Raw genomic sequence first — 15,175 nt, forward strand, 5'->3', positions numbered from 1 at the left:
ACTTCTGCCTCCTGGGTTCAAGTGATTTTCATGCATCAGCCTCCCAAAATGCTGGGATTACAGACACCCACCACCACGCCTGGCTAAGTTTTGTATTTTTAGTAGAGATGGGGTTTCACCATGTTGGCCTGGTTGGTCTGGAACTCCTGACCTCAGGTGATCCACCTGCCTCGGCCTCCCAAAGTGCTGAGATGATAGGCATGAGCCGCCGCACCCGGCCTTGAGTATGATTTTTGATTTGGAAGGTCAGAGTTAGGGTTTTAGTCTGAGGACTGTATGATGTGAAGGTGAAAAGCAGAGCTTGGCTGTGAGTTTGCTGGTATTCCTGTGCTGCTTCTACAGCTCTTTGGCTGTGTGACCGTCACCTTTGGCAAGTTCCTTTACCTTTCTATGTGTTGGTTTCCTCATCAATAAAATGGAAAAAATAATCATAATCATAATAGCTATTGGTGTTGGGATAGCCCAGTGGTTGACACATAAGGACTCAAACATATTTTTTTTTTTTTTTTTGAGACGGAGTCTTGCTCTGTTGCCAGGCTGGAGTGCAGTGGTGCAATCTCGGCTCACTGCAACCTCTGCCTCCTGGATTCAATCGATTCTCCTGCCTCAGCCTCCTGAGTAGCTGGGATTACAGGTGCCTGCTACCACTCCCAGTTAATTTTTGTATTTTTAGTAGAGACGGGGTTTCACCATGTTGTCCAGGATGCTCTCGATCTCTTGACCTCATGATCCACCCACCTCAGCCTCCCAAAGTGCTGGGATTACAGGCATGAACCACCGTGCCCAGCTCAAAAATACTATTATTAATTTTGGGGGGCAGTTACTATATTTTGTGAAAATCAGAGTTCAGTACCTTGTAACACTGAGTTGGGATCTATCCCTGAAGGAACAGGCTTCTAAAGAGGAAGGCATCGAGAGAGGGGCAAAATTTTAGTGGACGCTGTAATGACTTTAGGTATATGGACCTGGGGCTGAGTTCTAGCTGGGGCCACCAGGTAGCAAGGTGGACTTTGCTAAATTCTATCACTTTCCTGAGCCTCAGACTCACTTGTTACAAATGGGGTTAAAGCATCCCTCTTTCAGGGCTAAGATAAAGATGATTAAGTAAGAGGGAATGAAAGCAACTTCCATCAATGGTCAAAAGTATTCATTTAACTTCTTTTTTTTTTTTTTTTTGAGATGGAGTCTCTCTCTGTTGCCCAGGTTGGAGTGCAGTGGCATGGTCCCGGGTCACTGCAACCTCCACCTCCTGGGTTCAAGTGATTCCCCTGCCTCAGCCTCCTGAGTAGCTGGGACTACAGGTGCGTGCCACCACGCCTGGCTAATTTTTGTATTTTTAGTAGAGACGGGGTTTTACCATGTTGGCCAGGATGGTCTCGATCTCCTGATATTGTGATCCACCCACCTTAGCCTCCCAAAGTGTTGGGATTACAGGCATGAGCCACCATGCCTGGCCCATTTAACTTCTATATTACTTTCCTGTTGGTGGATTTACCAGTGCAAACTGAGCAGCTTAAAACACCATCCAGTTATTATCTGTTTCCATGAGCCAAGGGTCTGGGCAGGGTTTAACTGGGTCTTCTATTTAGGGTCACAATACTGCAACCAGAGTGTCAGCTGGGGTCTCATCAGATGCTCAGTGTCCTCTTCCAAGCTTATTCAGTTTGTGGACTGAATTCAATTTCTTGCAATTGTTGAACGAAGGCCCTCAGCTCCTAGAGCTGCCACCTCCAAAGACAGTTCACAGCATGGCCATTTGTGTCTCCTTGGAGGCTAAGGGTTGAATCTCTGAAACTTCACCTTTAAAAGACTCACCTGATTAGGTCTGGCCCACCTAAGATCATCCTGCTTTGGATGAACTCAAAGTCAGCTGAGCAAATGTGCTTAACAAAGCAAGTGTGACCATAATCACATTTGCAAAATTCCTTCCCCTTGGCCAAATCACAAGCTCTGCACACACTCAAGAAGAGATGATACAGGGAGCAGATATAAGGGAGGGGTTCTCTTGGGGGCTGTCCTAGAATTCTGCCCATTACAACTTCCTTTCTCAAGGAACAGCAGGCCTGGGGAGAGATGATCACGGATGAGAGCAGCCCACAGGTTGTGAGCGCCAGGTGATGGCGTAGGATGCAGGAGGCTGCCAAGCAAGTATGAAAAGCCTTCTCTGGGCTGGGTGGAGTGGCTCACACCTGTAATCCCAACACTTTGGGAGGCCAAGGTGGGCAGATCACGAGGTCAAGAGATCGAGACTATCCTGGCCAACCAACATGGGGAAACCCCGTCTTTACTAAAAATACAAAAATTAGCTGGGAGTGGTGGCACACGTCTCTAACAACCCAGCTCCCCAAGTGAGCAATTCCTGTCCCTTTTAAGGGCTCACAACTCTAAGGGGGTCCACATGAGAGGGTCGTGATCATGAGAGAGTCGTGATCGATTGACCAAGAAGGGAGTACGTGACTGGGGCTGCATTCAGCAAACCCCATCTCTACTAAAAATAGCAAAATTCAGCAAAGTCTCAGGATAAAAATCAATGCGCAAACATCACAAGCATTCGTATACACCAATAACAAACAGAGAGCCAAATCATGAGTGAACTCCCATTCACAATTGCTTCAAAGAGAATAAAATACCTAGGAATCCAACTTACAAGGGATGTAAAGGACTTCTTCAAGGAAAACTACAAACCACTGCTCAACGAAATAAAAGAGGATACAAACAAATGGAAGAACATTCCATGCTCATGGGTAGGAAGAATCAATATTGTGAAAATGGCCATACTGCCCAAGGTAATTTATAGATTCAATGCCATCCCCATCAAGCTACCAATCACTTTCTTCACGGAATTGGAAAAAAACTACTTTAAAGTTCATATGGAACCAAAAAAGAGCCCACATTGCCAAGTCAATCCTAAGCCAAAAGAACAAAGCTGGAGGCATCACGCTACCTGACTTCAAACTATACTACAAGGCTACAGTAACCAAAACAGCATAGTACTGGTACCAAAACAGAGATATAGACCAATGGAACAGAACAGAGCCCTCAGAAATAATGCTACATTATCTACAACTATCTGATCTTTGACAAACCTGACAAAAACAAGCAGTGGGGAAAGGGTTCCCTATTTAATAAATGGTGCTGGGAAAACTGGCTAGCCATATGTAGAAAGCTGAAACTGGATCCCTTCCTTACACCTTATACAAAAATCAATTCAAGATGGATTAAAGACTTAAATGTTAGACCTAAAACCATAAAAACCCTAGAAGAAAACCTAGGCAATACCATTCAGGACATAGGCATGGGCAAGGACTTCATGTCTAAAACACCAAAAGCAATGGCAACAAAAGCCAAAATTGACAAATGGGATCTAATTAAACTCAAGAGCTTCTGCACAGCAAAAGAAACTACCATCAGAGTGAACAGGTAACCTACAGAATGGGAGAAAATTTTTGCTATCTACTCGTCTGACAAAGGGACCTATGACTTTCTTATAACCAAGAGAATATGGCAGAGGTGATGGGATGTAGTGATTATGTTAGATAGGATGTTAAGTTGTCTTGCTAGGAGGCTATCTTGCTGGCTTTGAAGATGTGAGCTGCCATGTCATGAGTGGCCAGATGGAGAGGCCCATGTGGCAGGAAGCTGAGGACAGCAGGAACCTGGGGCCCTGAGACCAGCAGCCTGCAAGGAACTGAATGCTGCCAACAACCAGATGAGAAGGGAAGCAGATCACCAGTCAAGCCTCCAGATGAGAACTGAGCCCTGGCTGACATTATGGTTGCAGCCTTGCACTGAACCCAGCTGAGTCACGCTGGATTCCTGACCCACAGAAACCACGTAGTGATAACTGTGTGCTGTCTCAAGCCACAAAGTTTGCAGTAATATTGTTGCACAGCAATAGATAACTAATATAAAAACTGTCCTACATCATGTACATTACTGAGCGAAATGTAGAACCTGGATTTAAGCTCTGATTTCAGAGTTGTGGTCTCAGTCTCCCCAGGGAGACCTGTCCTGGGAGACAGTTATGCCAGGCTGTGATGCTGTGATGATTGTTCTCTTCCTACCCAGAAGCTTTCAATAGGCATGTCAAGCATGTGACCCCAGCTACATATACCAAATGTATTTCTGACAAATGCCAGGACATCGTGAGCTTTCTTGTTTTACTGAGAGCTCCATAAAGGAAGGATCATCTCTGTCTTTTTTTTTTTTTTTAAGAGTCTCACTGTCACCCAGGCTGGAGTGTAGTGGTGTGATCTCGGCTCACTGCAGTCTCTGCCTCCTGGGCTCAAGGGATTCTCCAGCCTCAGCCTCCTGAGTAGCTGAGATCAAAGGTGTGCATCACCACACCTAGCTAATTTCATATTTTTGGTAGAGACGGGGTTTACTCATGTTCGCCAGGCAGATCTTGAATTCCTGGCCTCAAGTGATTCGCCTACCTCGGCTTCCCAAAGTGCTGGGATTACAGGCATAAGCCAATGCACCTGGCCTGTCTTTTTTATGTTACATCCATGTGAAACAGCCCAGTGGTCAGCACACAAAGGGGTCCAAATGTGAAAGGAAAGGGCGAACACAGGGGAAACCTAGGGGTGTTCAGAAATAGTTCCCAGGTCACTGCCTGTTTCAATATGTACAGTCCTGGGCCCCACGCACAAGATTCTGACTTGGCAGGTCAGAATTGGAGATGGGGAGCTACCTGGTTACGAGGGATCCCAGTGCATTTTGAGGCAGCTGGTTGTTAAGACTGCATTGTAAAAATTACCCCCCAAAGATGTGAAGGGAAACAGAAAGACATTGGCAGGCTAGAAAACAACAGAAGTAAAACATGAACAAGTTCATTCCAGAAGGAGATTCTCAAACACAGCTGCACATCAGAATCACCTGGGGAGATTTTAAAACCCCAGTGCCCGGGCTCTGCAGCCCAGATCAATTATTACAGAATCCCTTGGGGATGAAACATGGGCATCAGTATTTTTGGTTTTTGTGTGTGTGTGTGTGTGTTTTTGTTTTGTTTTGTTTTGTTTTGAGATGGAATCTTGTTCTGTCACCCAGGCTGAAGTGCAGTGGTGCGATCTCAGCTCACTGCTACCTCTGTCTCCCGGGTTCAACCCATTTTCCTACCTCAGCCTCCCAAGTAGCTGGGGTTACAGGTGTGCACCGCCACGCCTGGCTAACTTTTTGTATTTTTAATAGAGATAGGGTTTCACCATGCTGCCCAGGCAGGTCTCGAACTCCCAGCCTCAGGTGATCTGCCCACCTTGGCCTCACACAGTGCTGGGATTACAGGCATGAGCCATTGCTCCTAGCAGTATTTTTTTAATGAGGCAAAATTCACATAACATACAAGTCCCTGTATGAAACCATACACTTCAGTATCATTAAATACATTCACAATGTTAAGCAATCATCATCTCTGTCTAGTTCCAAAACATTTTCATTAACACCCCCCGCCCCCCCAAAAAATAACCCTGTATCCATCAAGCACTCTCCATCCCCTCCCCTTTCCCCCAGCTCCTGGCAACCACTTACCTGCTTTCTGCCTCTATAGATTTGCCTATTCTGGGCCTTTCACATAAATGGAATCATGTAATATATATAATAACCAAAAGGTAGCAACAACCAAGATGGCCATTTGGTTGATGAATGAACAAACAAAATGTGCTGTATCCATACAATGGAAATATTGGTGCCTACTACATGTGGATGGACCTTGGCAACATCACGCTAAGTGAGAGAGAGCCTTGGTATCGTCTCATCTCCCCAGGAGATTCCAAGGTGCAGCCAAGGTTGAGACCCACTGACAAGCAATGGATACGATTGGGTGCAGATGAAATAAGGCAGCCAGGGGCAGGAGGGACGTCTCATTGAAGATGACTGTTTGTGGATGCCTAGCAGGGGTGGGGATGAGGGATGATAACAGCAACCCCAATCCCAACACAGCGTGACCGATTTTATCTTCAGCCAGCTGATACGCCTCATGGGGTTTGGACACAGGACACCTCTGCCTCCCAGGTTCAACCGATAACACCTGCCTCAGCCTCTTAAGTAGCTGGGATTACAGGCATGTACCACCACGCCTGGCTAATTTTTATATTTTTAGTAGAAACGAGGTCTCGTCCTGTTGCCCAGGTTGGTCTCGAACTTCTGGCCTTAAATGATCCACCCACCTCAGCCTCCCAAAGTACTGGGATTACAGGCATGAGCCACAGTGGCAGCCTCCAAATTCTATTTGAAGTTTGACTTTCCCCCTCCAGAAAATCCAACCTTTTCCCAAGTCACAGTGGGACACCCCGGAGTTAATTTGAGAGAAATGTGCTTTTAAAAACAACTCCAGGCCAGGCGCAGTGGCTCACGCCTGTAATCCTAGCACTTTCGGAAGCCGAGGCTGACGGATCACGAGGTCAGGAGATCAAGACCATGCTGGCCAACATGGTGAAACCCCGTGTCTACTAAAAATACAAAAAATTAGCCGGGCATGGTGGCACATGCCTGTAAGCCCAGCTACTCGGGAGGCTGAGGCAGGAGAATCGCTTGAACCAGGGAGTCAGAGGTTGCAGTGAGCCGAGATCGCATCACTGCACTCCAGCCTGGAGACAGAGAGAGATTAAATAAATAAATAAATAAATAAATAAATAAATACCACCGATATGAACACCAAACTAGAATCACTCCATTGACTTACAGAGAGAGATTAAATAAATAAATAAATAAATACCACCGATATGAACACCAAACTAGAATCACTCCATTGACTTCCCTCCGCCAAGCAGGGGGAGTGATGGTGGTGGTGCATGAGTGTCTATTTGCATTGAGTCGTAATGGAAAATAAGGTTGTGTCACTCAAAGGAAAAACAAATCACAGCCCAGACTGGAGCTGTGGATGAAAAACATGGCTGAGTGTTGGTACAGGCTTTCCACAGCAATATTAAAACTGAAAAAATCAGCAATGAAGCTCCCAGCCACATTTCTGCCAAATGATTTGGGGGAAAACAACAGAGGCACTCCTCAACTTTTCCTTCGCTGCACAAAGTGGGTTTGGCTGGAAATGCCAAGTGTGCTTTTTGCTGGGATCTTTCAAATGGAAGCAAGCTGGGAGTCAACCTCCTGCAGCCGCAGGCCAGAAATGGGTTTAGGCCAAACTATTATAGTAACACTGGTGCACATCTAAACAGATTTAACTCCCTCACAGCAATCCAGATTAATTTAATATGCTTTCTTATTGGCATTCTGCATTTCTCATTAAAGCAAATAAACATTCATTCCTCTGTGATAAATTAGGGCAAAAAAAAAATTCATATGTCTAGGGCATAGGGAAGGAGGAGTTGTTGGCTGTTAAAAAAAATACTGCAAATGGCCTTTGAAAGTCTAGACATCTTCATCATAAACACAAACATTCCTCTTCACAAAGGGACCTCAAGTAACCTTAGGCTGGAGGGCCCACTTGGGTATGTTTTTCTTCTCATTCTTTCTTACCTTCCCTCCAGCCCACCCAACCCACATTCAGTGACCAAGTCACGTGGGTTTTACCTCCTAAATCTTTTCAGATCCGTTCACTGCTCAGCCACTCTCCTGACACCACTATAAACCAAGCCACCATCACCTCCAGCTGTTTGACTGCAAATGCCTCCTCACTGGCCTCTGTCTTCCCCTGGCCCTGTGACAATCTGCACTCTTCACAGGGACCAAAGCGATCACTTCAGAAGGTGCATCCAAACCGATCACTCGCTTTCAATGGCTCCCTCTGCTGTGTCGGTTAACAATGATAAAAGCTCGGCCGGGCGCGGTGGCTCACGCCTGTAATCCCAGCACTTTGGGAGGCCGAGGCGGTCGGATCATGACGTTAGGAGATCCAGACCATTCTCCCTAACACGTTGAAACCCCGTCTCTACTAAAAATACAAAAAAATTAGCCGGGCGTGGTGGCGGGCGCCTGTAGTCGCAGCTACTTGGGAGACTGAGGCAGGAGAATGGCGTGAACGCGGGAGGTGGAGCTTGCAGTGAGCCGAGATCGCGCCACTGCACTCCGGCCTGGGCGACAGAGTGAGACTCCATCTCAAAAAAAAAAAAAAAAAAAAATTATAAAAGGTCACCTTTACTGAGCACACACTATCTCATTCCATCCCTACATCAGCCCTTTATTTCACCAGTGGGGAAGCTGGGACACAGAGTAGTTAGGTGGAATGCCCAAGGTGGGACCACTCGTGTGAAGTTTCCACACACTAATGTGAGACCCTCCATGACCTAGCCCCTCTCTTTCTCCAGCCTCATTTCCTGATTCTCTCGCTTGCCCTGAAGCCTTCAGCCACACAAACTTCTTGAAAGTCCCTTAAATCTGGCTGAGCGCAGTGGCTCACGCCTGTAATCTCAGCACTTTGGGAAGCTGAGGCGGCTGGATCACCTGAGATCACGAGTTCGAGATCAGCCTGGTCAACATGGTGGAACCCCATCTCTACTAAATATCCCAAAATTAGCCAGGTGTGGTGGATGGCACCTGTAATCCCAGCTACTCGGGAGACTGAGGCAGGAAAATCGCTTGAACTCGGGAGGCAGAGGTTGCCGTGAGCCAAGGTCGCACCACTCCACCCAAGCCTGGGCGTCAAGAGTGAAAGTCCGTCTCCAAAAAAAAGTCCCTTAAATCTGCTCTATGCCTATCAACCTCAGGGACTTCACTACGCTGTTTCTCACCCTGAAATGCTGTTCCTCATTTCTCTACATAGTGAACTCATCCCACCCCCTAGGCCTCTCCTTAGGTCATCTCTTCAAGGAAGATTTTACTTTTTTAATATAACTATTAAAATATAATTCAGGTACCGTATGATTTGCCCATTTAAAGTGAACAAATCAATGGTTTCAGTGCATTCACAGAGCTCGGCAACCACCATCATGATCAATTTTAAAACATTTTCATCACCCCAAAAAGAAACGCTGTATCCATGAGCAGTTTCCTGCCATTTCCTCCTCCCACTAAGCCCTGACAATCTACTTTTTTTGAGATAGAGTCTCTGTCACAGGCTGGAGTGCAGTGGCACAATCTCGGCTCACTGCAACCTCCGCCTCCCGGGTTCAAGCAATTCTCCTGCCTCCCGAGTAGCTGGGATTACAGGGATGTGTCACCACGCCCATCTAATTTTGTATTTTTAGTAGAGACAGGGTTTCTGTCTTCATAGATTTGCGTGTTCTGGACATTTCATATAAATGACATCTTAGAATATGTGACCTTTTGTGACTGGTTTCTTCCACTTAGCTTAATATTCTCATAGTTCATCCGTGTTGTAGCACGTGTTAGTACTTCATTCCTTTTGATGACTGAATAATATTCCATTGCATAGTCAAACCATGTTCTATTTCTCCACTCATCAGTAGACAAGCATTTGTGTTGTTTTCACTTTGGCGCTATTATGAATAATGCTGCTATGAGCATTTGTGTACAAGTTTCTGGACGGACATATATTTTCATTTCTTTCATAAACTGGAGTGGAAGTGGTGGGTCATAGAACTCTGTGTTTAATCTTTGGAAGAAGTGCCAGACTGTGTAAGAAAGAAAGCCTTTCCTCACCCTGTGAGACTGAGCTCCCTCTCTCCATTTATACATTCTCTTTAAGCCCTTTGCTTCTCTTTCAGAGCAATTCACATTGACCTGGGTCACCCTCAACTTAAGGCTCATAACTCCCCTAGATCCTCAGGGTCCACACTAAATGTGATGAAATATGATGCAAGCCACATATTTACTTTTGCATTTTGTAGTAACCACATTTTAAAAAGTAAAACAAAAGAAGTGAACGTAATTGGAATAATATCACAGATTTAAACAAATCTATCCAAAATACCAGGTCAACATGTATAAAATATTTTAACAATAACAAAATACTTTGCTTTCTTTTTATATTAAGTCTTCACAATCTAATGTGTATTTGACACTTCTCGCACATTTCAGAATGATGGCAGCAGCCCATATGGGGGGCCCGCCCATGATGCCAATGATGGGCTCTCCTCCTCCTGGGATGATGCCAGTGGGACCTGCTCCTGGAATGAGGCCGCCCATGGGAGGCCACATGCCCATGATGCCTGGGTGCCCAATGATGAGACCTCCTGCCCGTCTCATGATGGTGCCCAGTCAGCCCAGAATGACTCAACCAGACAGATAAGGATAGAGGGGAGGCCTCATTGCATCAGTGTTGTTTTGTTGTTGTTACTGTTGTGTTTTTTTTGTTTGTAATGTTTTGTTTTGTTTTTGAGACAGCGTCTTCCTCTGTCGCCCAGGCTGGAGGGCAGTGGCATGATCTCAGCTCACTGAAACCTCCACCTCCCGGGTTCAAGCGATTCCCCTGCCTCAGCCTCCTGAGTAGTGTGGGACTACAGGCGTGTGCACCATGCCCGGCTAATTTTTTTTTATTTTAGTAGAAACGGGGTTTCACCATGTTGGCCAGGACGGTCTCAATCTCCTGACCTCGTGACCCGCTCGCCTCAGCCTCCGAAAGTGCTGGGATTACAGGTGTGAGCCACTGCGCCTGGCCTATATGAATTTTATATTTACCTGCTCCCTTCACCAGGAGATCATGCTGCTGTGATATCGGGTTTTCTTAACAGCATAAGGAAGACTTGCCCCCTTGCCCTATCAAAGAGAATAGTTTTGGAGGGGAGAAGTGGGGCCAAAAAAGATGCAGTTTTCATTTGTATAGGGAAATGTGAAAATAAAATTGCCAACTCCTTTAGTTAAAAACAAAAAAAAAAGAAAAGAAAACAAGACGTGGGGCTGCCAAATGCAATACTGTGGATTCCACGGATCTTCTACTCTGGAGGCTAATATTATCTTTGCTGAAGCCAGACCAACCTGACACAAAGACCTTTTGGTTTTTTAATGTGACTGTGTTTTATTTTAGAATGTGTAATTCACTTTAGAAGGGCAAAGTACCTGTCTGGGGAAGACTATTTAATTTCCTGAATTTATTTAGAACGTTGGCTGATGTTATTATGAAGGAAAACAGCTCTAACAACTGAGTGCCCCCCACATAGACACAGCTCATGAGTTCACAGGGCAAAGGAATTGAACAGCAGCCTCCTAATAGCCGGCCATCTTTGTGATGTGGAAATAATTATCAGCATGTAAAAGTCTATATATATATTCAACAATTCTGACCCCCTGCAAAATTCAAATCTACAACTGATTTGCTTCCTGGGCTCCTGAAAACAACTTTGTCAAAATTGTTCAGAAATATAATCAGCCAATCGTTGCCCCTTGGGGACGCAGGATAAAGCAAGTCATCCATGACCAATGTGGAGTCGGCCGTGCACAATTACATGCAGACCTGCAGGACATCGAGTCCCTGCTATGGTCCCTCCCCAGTCAGGCCCCCATTGCCTGGGCTGCAGCCAGAAGCATTCAGGCACAAGTGCATTCAACCAATACTTACTTAATTGTATTGGTGGTTAGAGGGTTGCGATTGATTAAGGTACATTAATGGATGCATGTCCTCCCTGTATCCAAGACTCTGTCATTTGTCTCTGCAGTTCCTCCCACTGAAGAATCGGAGTATATTTCTCCAGTCCCTAATGTTGAGTTTTGAATTGTGTCTAGCTTTGGCCACTGGAATATTAATCTGTATGACCAAAAACTTGGAAAGTGTGCATTCAATTGTGCTCGCTCACTCCTGCTATCACCATGAGAACAAGCCCAGGCCAGACTGCTGCTTCCAGCAGAAGATAAGAGACACCAAGAGCAAAGTCGAGCTTCCCAGACATGCTCATGCTAGATTGACCAATCCTCAGCTGACCCATAGATCCATGAAAATAAACGATTGTTGTATTAAGCCACTGAGATTTGGAGTGACTTGTTATGCAGCATTTTGTGACAACAACTAACTGATACAAGGGTCACCATCCTTTATCTCTGTAGATTTTAACCAATTTTTAATAGCTAGATGGAGATCTTCTAGTTGCCTTTATTTATAATGAATATGACTGTAGAGCTTGTTTGGCCTGACACTACCAGTAACCTATCCAGAAATTCAGAAATACTTTCTTCTCCAACCCGCCCCAACCAACCTTTTGTTTGTTTGTTTGTTTTTGGGTTCTCCCTCTTTGCCTAGGCTAGAGTACAAATGGTACAGTCAGAGCTCACTGTAACCTCAAAATCCTGGGCTCAAGTGATCTTACCCTTCAGCCTCCTATGTAGCTAAGACTACAGACATGTGCCACCATGCCTGGCTAATTTTTTTATTCTTTGCAGAGAGAGGGTCTCACTATATTGCCCAAGTTGGTTTCAAACTCCTGGCCTCAAGCAGTCCTCCTGCCTCACCCTTCCAAAGTGCTAGGATTATAGGCATGAGCCACCACACCCAGCCTCTTATTCTTTTTAAATAGAAACCTTATTTTATTCTGACAGTGGGTTGCTTTCTTTTTTTTTTTTTTTTTTAAGAAAAAGTTGGCCCAGCCCCAGGGAATAAATTTTGACTGCTCTAAACAGGGTTGGCCAACTATAGACCAAGGGCCAAATCTGGCCCTCTGACTGTATAAATTAAGTTTTACTGGAATAAAACCAGGTCCATTGATTTATCCATTGTCTACATAAGCTTTTAGGCTACGATGGCACCACTGTGTCACTACGACAGAGGTTATCTAGACCAAAAGCCTAAAATATTACCGTTTGCATCTTTATGGAAAAAGTTTGCCATTCCCTAGTCTAAGGTTTAGATTCTGAGCTTATCATTTTAGCCTAACCCCCCTTACCAGTGACTGGCTAAAAACAAGTCTGTGATTCCATTCTGACTGTTCTACTGAGGGAATTCCCCCTTCTTCTCATGCAGAGCTGATGAGGGTTAGTTGTATTAATAGGACATACACTCAGGTTTTCTGAAAAATACTTTTATCTAGAAATGCATAGGAATATGCTGGTGCCTGAATGTACCATCTGGGGGCCTGGAGATTGACTCATCTGCCTCCAGAGCTAGTGCTCACACTTACTACTGAGAGGCCTGAGGAAATGCCTGCCTACCCACCACCAGAACCTGCATATGTCACCTGGAGAACTAGAGATCAGCCTGCCACGCACACCACCCAGGAGCCCAGTGGTGCACCTGCCCACTTGGCCCAGTGCTGCCACTGCCAGCAACCAAAGGAGCCACCTGGAGGCCCAGGGATTGGCCCACGCAGACAGGCTATCATCAGTGCCCACAAACACTGCCCACAGTCCCTAGTATTGACACACCTGGTCCACCACCGCTACCACTGATGCTGAAGGACAAGACTTCCTGGCATCCCCATCCTCAGCAAAGCCTCACCACAGCCTCCAATAACAACTACAGTCTGGCCAAGTGTGGTGGCTCACGCCTGTAATCCCAGCACTTTGAGAGGCCGAGGCGGGTAGATCACGAGGTCAGGAGTTCGAGAGCAGCCTGGCCAACATAGTGAAACCCCATCTCTACTAAAAATACAAAAATTAGCTGCGCATGGTTGTACGTGCCTATAGTCCCAGCTACTCAGGAGGCTGAGGCAGGAGAATTGCTTGAACCCGGGAGGCAGAGGTTGCGGTGAGCTGAGATTGTGCCACTGCACTCCAGCCTGGTGACAGAGCTAGACTCCATCTCAACAACCACAAAAAAAAACACTGCAGTCTAAGCCACTGAATGACTCACAGGCACCACTCATGCCAATTACAGCTGAAGGAATCATATGCAGACTATACCACTGTACCCACCCAGAATCAAAGCCAAAGTGTGATATCCAATGAACACTGTAGATACAGCTATAAGAAAAGGTCTTTCCCATATAAAAGCCAATCCATAAAATTGGAAGAAATGACTGTTATGTCAGAGGCACAGATAGTCACATAAGGATGCAAGAAATATGAAAAAGGAAACATAACATCTCCAAAGAAGCACAATAATTCTCCAGCAACAGATCCAATGAAAAGAAAATCTATGAAATGCCTGAAAAAAATTCAGAATAATGTTATTAAAGAAACTCAGGGAGATACAAGAGAACACAGATAATGAATACAAAAAAAAAAAAAAAAAAAAAAAACCAAACAGGAAAACAATTCAGTATCTGAACGACAAATTCAACAGAGATAGACAGCATAACAAAGAACCAAACACAAATCCTGGAAGAGAATAAATCATTGAAATAAATACAAAAGATAATTGACAGCTTTAACAATAGACTAGATCAAGCAAAACAAAGAATTTCTGAACCTGAAGACTAGTCTTTTAAAATAATCCAGTCAGACAAAAAGAAAGAAAAAAGAATGAAGCAAGGCTACATGACATATGGGACACATATGTCACCAAAAACTGAAATTCTGGGAGTTCTGGATGGAGATGAGATGGGTAAAGGCATAGAAAACCTATTTAATAAAATAATAACTGAAAACTTCCTGAATGCTTCCAAATGCAGGAAGCTCAAAGATTACCAAATAAATACAACTCAAAAAGGTCTTCTCCAAGGCACATTATTGTAAAATTGTCAAAAGACAAAGAGAAAATGCTAAAAACAGCAAGAGAAAGGCATCAAGTCACTTATAAGAGAATCTCCATCAGGCTAACAGGGGATTTCTCAGCAGAAACCTTACAGGCTAGGAGAAAAGGGGATGTATACTACAAGTAAAATAAAAATAAAAAAATGTAAGCCAAAAATACTATATCCAGCAAAGCTATCCTTCACAAATGAAGAAGCCTGGCACAGTGGCTCACATCTGCAATTCCAGAGACTCAAAAGGCTGAGGCAGGAGGACCATTTGATCCCAGGAGTTCAAGGCTGCAGTGAGCTATGATCATGCCACTGTACTCCAGCCTGGGTGGCAGAGTGAGACTCCATTGCTAAAAAAAAAATAGTAATAATAAAAGAGAAAAAAGTATTTCCCAGATAAGCAAAAGACTGTTTGTTTGTGTCTTGTTTGTTGTGGTCCTACAAGAAATGTTTAAGGGAGTCCTACATTGGGAAGCAAAAGAACAATATCTACCATCATGAAAATACATGAAAGTATAAAACTCACTAGTAGTTCAGACACACAAAGAAGAAAGGATTCAAACATCACCACTAAAGAAACCCACCAAACTGCAACCATAAATAATGAGAGAAAAAAGGAACAAAGGTGTATTAGTCTGTTTTCACACTGCTGATAAAGACATACCTGACTGAGACTGGGCAATTTACAAAAGAAAGAGGTTTAATGGACTTACACT

At 44.7% G+C, this 15,175-nt stretch overlaps 1 protein-coding gene, 1 long non-coding RNA gene and 1 pseudogene across 2 annotated transcripts in view; 1 reads left to right on the top strand and 2 right to left on the bottom strand.

The window, feature by feature from the left end:
- Positions 1 to 15,175, bottom strand: part of ASNS (asparagine synthetase (glutamine-hydrolyzing)) — a 76,765-nt gene that overhangs the window by 24,260 nt on the left and 37,330 nt on the right. The window lies entirely within an intron of this gene.
- CZ1P-ASNS (CZ1P-ASNS readthrough) overlaps positions 1 to 15,175 on the bottom strand; it is a 120,242-nt gene that overhangs the window by 23,820 nt on the left and 81,247 nt on the right. The gene's annotated exons all lie outside the window — the stretch shown is intronic.
- SNRPCP9 (small nuclear ribonucleoprotein polypeptide C pseudogene 9) lies at positions 9,932 to 10,715 on the top strand (annotated as a pseudogene).

The sequence above is a fragment of the Homo sapiens genome, chromosome 7 (genome assembly GCF_000001405.40).
Source record: "Homo sapiens chromosome 7, GRCh38.p14 Primary Assembly".
Classification (NCBI taxonomy): domain Eukaryota; kingdom Metazoa; phylum Chordata; class Mammalia; order Primates; family Hominidae; genus Homo; species Homo sapiens.